Source organism: Homo sapiens, chromosome 9 (genome assembly GCF_000001405.40).
Source record: "Homo sapiens chromosome 9, GRCh38.p14 Primary Assembly".
NCBI lineage: Eukaryota > Metazoa > Chordata > Mammalia > Primates > Hominidae > Homo > Homo sapiens.
The window spans coordinates 41,937,631-41,950,230 of record NC_000009.12 but is presented as its reverse complement, the minus strand read 5'-3'; the positions used below and the strand labels follow the sequence as shown (position 1 = coordinate 41,950,230).

The 12,600-nt window shown below is 35.4% G+C and overlaps 1 protein-coding gene across 1 annotated transcript in view; it reads left to right on the top strand.

Annotated features, from left to right (window-relative positions):
• Positions 1–12,600, top strand: part of CNTNAP3B (contactin associated protein family member 3B) — a 238,891-nt gene that overhangs the window by 179,196 nt on the left and 47,095 nt on the right. The window contains exon 14 of the mRNA NM_001201380.3: positions 11,831–11,987. Within this exon, the coding sequence (NP_001188309.2) occupies positions 11,831–11,987 (157 nt within the window). The remainder of the gene's footprint in view (positions 1–11,830; positions 11,988–12,600) is intronic.

Sequence of the window (12,600 nt, the reverse complement as noted above, 5' to 3'; positions counted from 1 at the left end):
TTTTTTATTTTAGCTATTCTGATAACTGTGTAGTAATATCTTTATTGTGGTTTTAATTTGTGTCTCCCTGATGTCTAATAATATTGAGCATGTTTTATATGCTTATTTGCCATCTGTATATCGTTTTCAGTGAGATAGATGTCTGTGAATGTTTTTGTTGTTGTTCATTTTCTAATTGGATTGTTTGGATTTGTTTTGTTACTGTTGAATTTTCAGTTCTTTATATATTCTAGATACTAGCCTTTTGTTGGATATGTGATTTGCGAATATTTTTTCCCACTCTGTTGCTTGCCTATTCATCGACTCTTAACTGGAATTTTTTAGAGCAAAAGTTTTAATTTTGATGAGATTCAGTTTATCATATTTTCCTTTTATGGGTTGTACACATCGTGTCAATTCTAAAAATTCTTTACCTAACCCTAAATTCCAATTCCAAAGATTTTTGAATTTTTTTCCTAAAAGTTTTATAGTTTTACCTTTTACTTTTAATTCCATGCCCTATTTTGGGACACATTTTATATAAGATGTGAGAGTTGATTCTCTCTCACTCTCTCTGACTATGAATGTTCAGTTGCTCCAGAACCATTTGTTGAAAAGGCTATCCTTCCTGCATTGAATTGCATTTTAAATAGTGTTAAAAATTGGTTGAACTTACTTGTGTGGTGGGTCTGTTTCTGCATTCTTTATCTGTTTCATTAATTTATATGCCTCCACCAATATCACACTGTCTTGAACGTGGTAGCTGTGTAGCAGGGTTGAGTTATTCCTCCTGCTTTATTCTTCTTTTTCAAGATTGTTTAAGTCTGTAGCTTGCCTCATTCTGTATAAATTTTGTAATAAATTTGTTTATGTCTACAAACATCTTGCTAGAATTTTTATGGGAATGACATTAAACATAATAGCTCAATGAAGGGAAAATTGGTGTTTTACTGTTTTGAGTCTTCCAATCCATGAACATGAGATATCTTTCCATTTATTTGGATCTTTGATTTCTTGCCTCAGCATTTTGTAATTCTTAGCATCCAGAGATTATATGTTTTATAAGTATGCTTAGGCATTTAGTTAGTTTCTTGATTGATTGTAAGTGCTGTTGTGCTTTAAATTTTTGTTTACATATGTTTCTTGTTAGAATATGAAATATGATTGTTTCATACTAATCTTATAAGCTCTTTTTTGAACTTAATATTTTTTTAGATTCCTTGGGATTTTCTATATGGAAAATCATGTCATCTGCAAGTAGAGTCAGCTTTATTTCTTCCTCGTCAATCTGTAGGGAGTTAATTTATTTTTCTTGCTTTATTGCAGTAGCTAGACTTTCAATACTAGGTTGAGCTAGAGTGGTGAGGGCAGACATCCTTGCCTTGTTTCCTGTCTTAGGGGAAAAGCATTCATTCTTGTTTCCTATGTTATGTGGAGGTAGTTCCCTTTTATTCCTGGTTGGCTGACAGTTTTTATTTTGAAAGGACATTGGATTTTTGTCAAATGTCTTTTCTGTGTCAATTGGTATTAAAATATTATATTTCTTCTTTTGTCTGTTGATATGTTGAATCAGCTTTGCATAACTAGAGCAACTCCCATTTTGCCATAATGTATAATTTAAAAAATACATTTCTAATGTGTTTGATTTATTAATATTTTATTGAATATTTTTGCATTCAAATTCATAAGAGATATTGATATGTAGTTTTCTTTTTTCATATTGTCTTTATCTGGTTTCAGTATCAGGACAATACTGCCTACATAAAATGAATTTGGTAGCATTCTCTAGTCTCCTGTTTTCTGGAAGAGATTATGTAAAATTGACTTTAATTTTTATTTAAACATTTGGTAGAATTCTCCAGTAAGGCCCGGCAGGGTGGCTCTGTGATCCCAGCACTTTGGGAGGCTGAGGCAGATGGATCACTTGAGGTCAGGAGTTCGAGACCTGCCTGGCCAACATGGTGAAACCCCGTCTCCACTAAAAATACAAAAATTAGTTGGGTGTGGTGGCACACACCTATAATCCCAGCTACTCAGGAGGCTGAGGCAGGAGAATCGCTTGAACTTGGGAGGCAGAGGTTGCAGTGAGCCAAGATCACACCACTGCACTCCAGCCTGGACAACAGAACGAGATTTCATCTCAAAAATAAAAACCAAAACCAAAACAAAACAAAAAGAATTCTCCAATAAAACCATCTGGGCCAAGAGATTTTTTTTCAGTAATTTTAAATTATGAATTCAATTTTCTTAATAATTACAATTACTTAAATTACCTATTTCATGTTAGGTGAATTGTGGTAGTTTGTACTTTTTGAGAAATTTGTCCATTAATCTGAATTGTCAAGTTGATTTGTGTAGAATTATTTGTAGTATTTTCTTATTATTCGTTTGATGTCTCCAGCATCTGTAGTGATATCCACTTAAATTTCTCATATTCATAGTTTGTCTCATCTTTTTTTGTCTGTCAGTCTTTATAGAAGTTTTTCAATCTTACTGTTTTTTAGAACTAGATTTTCGTTTCTTGATTTTCTCTATTATTTTTGTTTCAAATTCTATTGAAATCTGCTCTTCTCTTTGTTATCTCCTTCCTTCAGCTTGTATGAGTTAATTTTGTTTTCTAGTTTCTAGAGGTAAGAACTTACATTATTGGCTTTAGGGCTTTCTTCTTTCCTAATGTAGGCATTTAGTGCTACGTTTTCCCTATCAACACAGTTTTACCTACATTTCACATATTTTGATATGTTGTATTCTCATTTTCATTTAGTTTTTCATGTAGTTTCATTTTCATTTAAGTATTTTAATAAATTTCTTTGAAGCATATTCTTTGACCTGTAGCTTATTTAGAAGTGTATTTTAAAAAATTTCTAAGTGTTTAGAGATTTTCTTTTTCTCTTTCTGGTATTGATTTCCAGTTTGATTCCATTATGCTTAGAGAATATACTTTGTGTGATTTTAGTTCTTTTAAATATGTTGAGGTTTGTTTGGCTCCCAGGGATATGGTCTGTCTTGTAAATTTTTCATGGGCATTTGAAAAAAAAATGTATATTCTGCTATTCTTAAGTGGAGTATTCTGTATGTATTTCAATGAGATCCTGTTGGTTGATTATGTTGTTCAGATCTTGTATATCCTTGCTGACTTCTTGTCCAGTAGTTCTGTCAGTTGCTAAGAGAGACATTTTGAAATCTGTACTATAATTGTGGATCTGTTTATTTTTCCATTCTGCTCCATCAGTTTTCTTATATTAATAGGCTTTATATTTTTTAGCAATTTTAAGTTTACATAGAAATTGAGCAGAAAGTACTGGAAGCATATGATTTTTATTCTTTAGTTTGTTGATCTGATGGACTATATTAATTAATTTTCAAATGTTAAAGGCATATCTAGAGTAAATCCCACTTGGTTGTGGTGTTTATTTTTAAAAATTGTTTGGTTCAATTTGCTAATATTTTTTAAGGATTGCTTCATCCATGTTCAAGGGAGATATTTGTTTGCAGTTTACTTTTTTGTAAGGTTTTGCTGGTTTGGGTATTAGGGTAATGCTGGCCCATGGAATGAGTTAAGAAATAGTCACTCTGCTTCTATTTTCTGCAACAGATTGTGGAAAATTGGTATCATTTATTTCTCCAATGTTGATAGAACTCACCAGTGAATCATCTGGGCTTGGTACTTTCTGTTTGGGAAGGTTATTAATTACTGGCTTAGTTAAAAAATTTTGTTTCTCTTGAGACTTTCTCTTTCACCATGTTTTATTATTTAGAAATGTGTTTTTAAATTTTTTGGTATTTGAGGATATTTCAGCTCTCTTTCTGCTATTATTAGTTTAATTCCATTCTGATTCAAGAACATGCCTTTTGTGATTTCTATTCTTTTAAATTTGGTAAAGTGTTCTGTGGCCTAGAATGTGGTTTAACTTAATGAATTGTGCATTTGTATTTGAGAAGAATGTGTATTCTGCAGTGTCTAGATAAAATATTCTATAACGCTAATTGAATTCTAAAGTATTCAGTTAGATCCAGTTGATTGATGGTGCTGTTCAGTTCAAATCTATCCTTAATGATTTTCTTCCTGCTGAGTCTGTAACTTACTCATAGAGGGGTGTTGAAGTCTCCAGTGGTAATAATGGATGTGTCTCTCTGTCCTTGCAGTTCTATCAGTTTCCCCCTAATATATTTTGACTCTTCTGTTGCTAGGTATATACATATTAAGCATTATTATATCTTCTTGTTATATTGACCCCTTTATTATTGTGTAATGCCCTTTTTCATCTCTGATAATTTTCCTTGCTCTGCAGTTGGCTTTGTCTAAAATTAATTTAGATACTCTGTCTTTCTTTTTGGTTAGTGTTACCATGGTATATCTTTCTCTAGCTCTTCAAATCTACCCGCTATTTTATATTTAAAGAGGATTTCAGTAGACAACATGTAGGTGGATCATGGGTTTTGTTGTTGTTGTTCACTCTGACAGTCTCAGTCTTTTATTTTATTATTATCATACCTTAATTTCTAGGGTACATGTGCACAACATGCAGGTTTGTTACATATGTATCCATATGTTAATGGTGTGCTGCACCCATTAACTCATCATTTACATTAGCTATATCTCCTAATGCTATTCCTCCCCTCTCCCCACACCCCATGACAGGCCCCGGTGTGTGATGTTCCCCTTCCTGTGTCCAAGTGTTCTCATTGTTCAATTCCCACCTATGAGTGAGAACATGCAGTGTTTGGTTTTTTGTCCTTGCGATAGTTTGCTGAGAATGATGGTTTCCAGCTTCATCCATGGCCCTACAAAGGACATGAACTCATCCTTTTTCATGGCTGCATAGTATTCCATGGTATATATGTGCCACATTTTCTTAATCCAGTCTGTCATTGATGGACATTTGGGTTGGTTCCAAGTCTTTGCTATTGTGAATACTGCCTCAGTAAACATATGTGTGCATGTGTCTTTATAGCAGCATGATTTATAATCCTTTGGGTATATACCCAGTAATGGGATGGCTGGGTCAAATGGTATTTCTAGTTCTAGATCCATGAGGAATCGCAACACTGTCTTCCACAATGGTTGAACTAGTTTACAGTCCCACCAACAGTGTAAAAGTGTTCCTATTTCTCCACATCCTCTCCTGCACCTGTTGTTTCCTGACTTTTTAATGATCGTCATTCTAACTGGTGTGAGATGGTATCTCATTGTGGTTTTGATTTGCATTTCTCTGATGGCCAGTGATGATGAGCATTTTTTCATGTGTCTGTTGGCTGCATAAATGTCTTCTTTTGAGAAGTGTCTGTTCATATACTTCGCCCACTTTTTGATGAGGTTGATTTTTTCTTGTAAATTTGTTTAAGTTCTGTGTAGATTCTGGATATTAGCCCTTTGTCAGATGGGTAGATTGCAAAAATTTTCTCCCATTCTATAGGTTGCCTGTTCACTCTGATGGTAGTTTCTTTTGCTGTGCAGAAGCTCTTTAGTTTAATTAGATCCCATTTGTCAATTTTGGCTTTTGTTGCCATTGCTTTCTTAATTGGTATATTTAGACTGTTTACATTTAAAGTGATTATTGATACTTGGATTAATATTTGCCATATTGTAACTCTTTTTTATTTGTTGCCCTTGTTTCTTCTTTTTTTCCTGAATTCCCCTCTCACATTTTTTGTTTTAATTGAGCATTTTATATGATTCCATATCCTCACTTCTCCTAGAATATTAATTACATTTCTTGGTAATTGTTTTAGTGGTAGCCTTTGAGTATAAAATATACACTATAACAATCTACTTTCAAATAACACTATTCCACTTCATTAATGGTGCTGGTACTTTATAACACAGCATTTCCAATCCTTCTGTCTTATTTTGTATTACATTATTATCATTCATTTTACTTATTCATAAGCCATAATCACCCAATACATTGTTAGTATTATTTAGAGCTGTTACCTATTACATCAATTAAGAAGAAGACACTAGATTTTATTTTAATTTTTTTCTTCTCTAATGCTCCTACCTTTCTTTATGTATTTCTGTGTTTTTGACCTATATTGTTTTTCTTTTCTCTGAGGAACTTCTATTAACATGGCTTGCAAGGTAGGTCTACTGGAGAAAGATTTCCTCAATTCTGTTTATCTAAGTCTTTATTTCTACTTTACTATTTAGGATAATTTTACTGGATATAGAATTTTATATTAGTGTGTGTTTTCTCTCAACAGTTTAAATATTTCACTTCACTTTCTTCTTGCTTGCATGGTTTCTTAAGGGAAATCTGGCATAATTCTCATTCTTGCTCCTATGTAGGTAAGGTGTTTTATTTTACTCTGGTTTATTTCGAGATTTTATTTTTAAAAGATTTTATTTTAATTTTAAGAAAGTCTTCAATTTTTTGCAATTTGAATATGAGATGCCTAGGTGTGGTTTTTTTTGTATTTAACCTGCTTGGTGATTGCTGAGATTCCTGAACCTATGGTTTCATGTCTGTCATTAATTTTGAAACATTCTCAACTGTCATTATTTTAAATATTTCTTCTGGTTCTCACTCTCTTCCTTCTACTTCTGGTATTCCGATTATGGGTTACATAGGTTACACCGTTTGAATTTATCCAACAGGGCTGGGCGCGGTGACTCACTTGCCTGTAATCCCAGCACTTTGGGAGGCCGAGGCGGGCGGATCACAAGTTCAGGAGATCCAGACCATCCTGGCTACCACGGGGAAACCACGTCTCTACTAAAAATACAAAAAATTAGCTGGGCGTGGTGGCAGGCGCCTGTAGTCCCAGCTACTCGGGAGGCTGAGGCAGGAGAATGGCGTGAACCCAGGAGGCGGAGCTTGCAGTGAGCCGAGATTGCACCACTGCACTCCAGCCTGAGCGACAGAGAGAGACTCCATCTCAAAAAAAAAAAAAAAAAAAAAAAAATTATTGTCCAACAGTTTGGATATTATGTTTCATTTTTCATTCTTTTTCTCTTTGTGTTTAATGGAAAATTTTCATTGACGTATCTTCAAACTCACTGATTCTTTCCTCAGCACTTCCCAGTCTTCCCAGACTTTGATGAGGCCATCAAAGACACTCTACAATGTTTACTTTTAATCTCTGTATTTCCTTCTGATTTTGAGATTTCATATCTTTGTTTATAGTACCTATCTCTTCTTGCATGTTGCCCACTTTTTCAACATAGAGCCCTTAGCATATTGATTATTATTTCAAATTCCTTATCTGATATTTCCAAATCTGTCATAACTGCATGTTTGCTTGATTCGTCTCATAAGACTGTATTGTTTGGCTTTAGCATACCTTGCAATTTTCTGTTGAAAGCCAGACATGTTGTATTGGCAAAGGAACTGAGGTAAGGAAGCCTTTAATGTAAGGTTTTATGTTTATCTGGTTAGTAGTTAGGCTGAATTTGCTCTTTGCATAACTGTTGTGTCAGAGGCCAAAATTTCCTCTAAGGTTATTTTATTTTTCTTTCTTCCGTTTTGAGTTTTCCCAGAGACTCTGTCTTAAATAGGGTCTAAAATTGACAGCTCTTTCATTTTTAATCTCCTGTTACTATACAGGTAATGTACTGATCTGATTGATGATAAGGTGCGGGGAGAGGAGAAGCATCCTATACTCTTTTTTTTTTAATGTTTTTATTTTATTTTAATTTTTTTGAGAGAGTCTCGCTCTGTAGCCCAGGCTGGAGTGCAGTGGCGCCATCTCAGCTGACTGCAAGCTCCGTCTCCCGGGTTCACGCCATTCTCCCGCCTCAGCCTCCCCAGTAGCTGGGACTACAGGCGCCCGCCACCACGCCCGGCTAATTTTTTTCTATTTTTAGTAGATACGGGGTTTCACCATGTTAGCCAGGATGGTCTGGATCTCCTGACCTCGTGATCCGCCCGCCTCAGCCTCCCAAAATGCTGGGATTACAGGCTTGAGCCACCTCACCCGACCCAATTTTTTGTATTTTTAGTAGAGATGGGGTTTCACCATGTTAGCCAGGATGGTCTCGATCTCCTGACCTCATGATCTGCCCGCCTCGGCCTCCCAAAGTGCTGGGATTACAGGCGTGAGCCACCGCGCCCGGCCAGAAGCATCCTGTACTCTTAGGATTAGGTCAGTCTTTTAGAGAACCTGTCTTCCTGGACTGTGACCTTCAGAGTGCTTCTCAGCTTCCTTCCCCTTCCCTTGGGTAAGAAAAGAAGGGTAGAGGGGGCTGGTTCTGGGTATTTCCATTCCCCTAGGTGGTTTAGGCTCTAGTAAACTAGCTTTTTGGGGGATTAGAATGTTGTTAAGGAGAACATAATGTTCAGCGCTTATTTCAAAAATGTTTTCTCCTTCCCTCCCCCTGCTGGAGACATAAGAGCGTTTTTTTCCTATCTTTATTCTGAGAACTTGATGGGGCTCTTCCTGGAGATAAAACTCTTGAAGGTGTGTTGACCCTCTAAGGCGTATCCCCCACTCTAGGAGTTTTCAATCTCTGTAGCTTGTCCTTGCTCAGTATCCATCAATTAGTCAGTTACATTTTAAGTGCTTTTACCAGACTCCACCATCTGCTTTGGCACCATTAGCCGTGATGCTGTTTTCAGTTGTCTCTGCAGCTTTAGGAGTAATGTTTGCCCTATGACTTTAACTGTGTAAGAAGAACTGTTTATTTTTAGTTAGTGCAGCTTTTTTCTTGTTGTGAGAATGGGAGCGATGACTTCCAGACTCTTAATGTCATATCAGATTGGAAACCAGAAGTCTCAATTTTTGCCTCATTTTTTTAAGGGTGTATTGTTTCTTGCATATGCATTTATGTCTTCCTGGTGATTTTTTTTTAAATCATTATGTAATGTCCCTGTTCTAGTATTTTTGTTCTGAAGTCTATTTTATGAGATAGCCATTCTGCTTTCTTTCAAATTTAAGTTTTGCAGAGTGTATTTTTTCCATCCTTTTACTTTTAACCTGCCTATGTTTATTTTGAAGTGAGTTTCTTATAAATTTCTCGTTGTGTTATTTTTTTTTCAGTTGATTCTGCCAGCATCTAACTTTTGTTATATTTTAACCATTTACATTTAAGGTAATTTTTATAATTTTCTTACTCGTTGCTTGGTATTATAGTGTACATATGTGACTTACCACAGTCAACTTAAATATCTTCACTCTCATAATGAAATATGGAATCCTTATGTCTATTTGGGTCCTTTATCTTCCCCACTTCTAAATATCATTGTCTTGAGTATCATATGGTATTACAGTTTTTGTGTCAATTATCATATATCATTTCAAAAATTGATAAGGATAGTCTATTATATTTATCCATATTTCTTCTCTTTTCATTTTTTTCCTGATGTTCCAAGAATCCTTCGTTATAATTTCTTTTTGAAAAACCTCCTTTAGCCATTCTTTAGGGAATGTCTGCTAGCGACAAATTATTTTAGTTTTCTTTTGTGTTAAAAAGGTTTTTTGTTGTTGTTATTGTTTTGGAGATGGAGTCTCACTCTGTCGCCCTGGCTGGAGTGCAGTGGCACAATCTCGGCTCACTGCAGGCTCCGCCTCCCGGGTTCACGCCATTCTCCTGCCTCAGCCTCCTGAGTAGCTGGGACTACAGGCTCCCGCCGCTACGCTCGTCTATTTTTTGTATTTTTAGTAGAGACGGGGTTTCACCGTGTTAGCCAGGATGGTCTCGATCTGACCTCGTGATCCGCCCACCTCGGCCTCCGAAAGTGCTGGGATTACAGGCGTGAGCCACCGCACCCGGCCTAAAAAGATTTTATTTCCATTTTTATTCTTGAAGGATAGTTTCTCTGGATATATAATTTATAGTTGACAATTCTTTTCTATCAGCCCTGAAAAAAAATATGCCATTCCTTCTGGTTCTGTAATTTCAGATGAGTAATCTACTATCATTCAAATTAGGGTTCTTTTACAGGCAGGTAATGTGTTATTCTCTCAGGCTGCTTTCAAGATTTGTTTTGTTTTGTTTCCAAAAAGTTCAATTATGATGGATCTTGGTGTCGATATTTTTGGGTTTATCCTTTTTTGGACTTAACTTCCTAAATCTGTGGGTTTGTATCTTTCACCACATGTGGGAAGTTTACAGCCAGTATTTTTTCAGTACTCTTTCAGCACACTTTGTTCTCTCTTTTTGAGATTCGGATGATATTGTCTGATAGGACCCTATGGCTCAGTTCTTTTTATATTCCGTCTGTTTTCTCTTTTTTGGTCAGGTTAGATAAAGCCTATTGGTGGGTCCTCAAGTTCAGTGATTCTGTCCTGTGTCTTTTCACTCTATTCTTGAGCCCATTCAGAGTTTTTTTAAAACGTTATGTTATTGTATGTTCCAGTCCTGGGGTCCTAAGCTTCCTCTTTCTACTTTTCAGAATTCTCTTCGGTTGTCTTCTGTATTATTTCCAGAATCTATCATTATACTTGGTGGAAATAGCAGGGATAGACAAGTCTACAAGATCTTTTATCAGTCTAGAAGTTCACCCACTTACATCTTTTTGTTACTGTTTCTAAAAAAATACATTTTTACTACTTTATGGGGAATATGGGAGATTTAGATGTAAATTTACACTTGTACATTAGGATATAATGAGTGTTTTGCTCTTTAATCTGCGACAGTTTAATGGTGAAGTCGGTAACTTTTAAAGTGGCATTCCGAGAAGAGTGTATTAATTTTTAAAAATATCTTTTACGTTGTAGTGACAAGCTTTTAGCACATTTTTAAAAGATTCCTGGTACTAATCCCTCTTTAAATTTTCCCAGATTGCCTTTTTTTCGTTGTTTTTTTTGTTTTTTGGCAGAGGGGCAGGTGATAGATAGTGGTGGTGGTAATGAATGCAGAGATCTTATCTATGAATGAGTTATAATTGAGTTGTAATAAGCAGTAAGGTAGAAGCTAAGTTCCAGATCTCGATTCATATTCCAATGGTAACAACCTATTGAAATTTGAAAAACAGCACCACATGATCAAGCATGTTTAAAAAACTGGTTGAGTTAATCCAATTTCATTTTCCTCATGGCCTAATCTGTGATGACTGCAACTTGTGGCCTCTGACCCCTTTCCTTTTTTAAGATAGGTGGCCTGACACCTGCTTTTTAAATTATCCTAACTTTACTGTGATGTGCTGTCAGTCCATCACCCCAATCTTCACTCCCAACCCCTGGCAGCATCCCTTGTCCTAATATGCAGTTCTATAGATCTGAGTTAGTGTCTGACTCTATCATTTAATCATTGTCAGTGCTGAGAAGGAGGCGCACTCGTCAGAGCTGTAGTTGACCCAGGGCACTTTGTTTCTTCGCATGAGAAATTTCTAACCTCAGAGATGAGAAAAGCCTATCAATGTCATTCCTTAACCTCCAAATAAAGAGTCAGGACATCCAATGCAATAAAAACAAATACCTCCAAAAATTAGTAAGTACTGACAGAGAATACCATATCTTTCCAAATGTGTAATATACAGGTAGTTAGCAAAAAGATGGGATGAGATAAATCAATGTCTTTGTATAATATTAAACTTTCTCAATGAACATTTCATAATTTCAAATAGATTTTATCTTTAGTGTGCAAATTACCCTGGTATTAATTTTAATGGTGAATTTTTTTGAATGTTATTTCTATAGAAAGTATGTATCACGTGCAACTGACTGATTTCTAATAGAAGAAAAATAGATGGAATCATTTAAGCCTAGATATTGAAATATTGGGGGAAAAACATTGGTTAGGCTTAAAGAAACGTTTCAGAGGTAAAATACAAGTGTTTAAGTATAGTTTCATTTTCTCTCTCTCTGCCTCTCACACATACACTTTACACCTGGGAGTAAAGGGAGATATATGGGGAGGGTGATAGTGAGGGACAAAGTAGATGTCATCTTTCTTATACTTGTCTTTCAGATGGAACCCCACTGAGCTGGTGGGTTGGAAGAACCAATGAAACACACACTTCCTGGGGAGGTTCTCTGCCTGATGCTCAAAAGTGTACTTGTGGATTAGAGGGGAACTGCATTGATTCTCAGTATTACTGCAACTGTGATGCTGGCCAGAATGAATGGTGATTTCCACATGATTTCCCTGCACAAAAATGTGGTTTTTATTCTTTAATTATGCATAGTTAATTAAATGTCAGACAAGCTGGTACAATAAGGTAACTAGATTAAAGTATGTTCAAGCAAGCTGAAATACAAGTTTTGATGAAATATGATCAGTTAATCTAAGGATTAAATTTTATGACCAAAGATTTACTAATTCATTGTGAATACTATATAATGTGTTTTTTATTTTTCGTAAAAGAGAAGCAGCTGTTAAGTTTTCCACTCACTGGAAATCAAATATCATTCTCTGCGAAGTTTAGTTAATTAATTAACGTAGTATTCATGTGGCAATTCAAAAAGCAAATTCCTCCAAATCTTTGTCTTAAATTGATTTGGGATATAATGCTGCATATTCTGTCTTTCTTTTAGAAATTAACATTAACACAAGAAACTCTGAGAGGTCCTGCATAAAAGGACTGTGTTTATTTTTTAGAAGCAACAATTTCCCACACTCATTGAAATCTGCAGTGCAATAGCAAAGCTTCAAGCACCAACTGTTCTGTAGACCATACTTTGAAACAACTAACATAGAATTTCCGGAATTTGAAAATTATTTTGTAAGCTTTCTTTTGA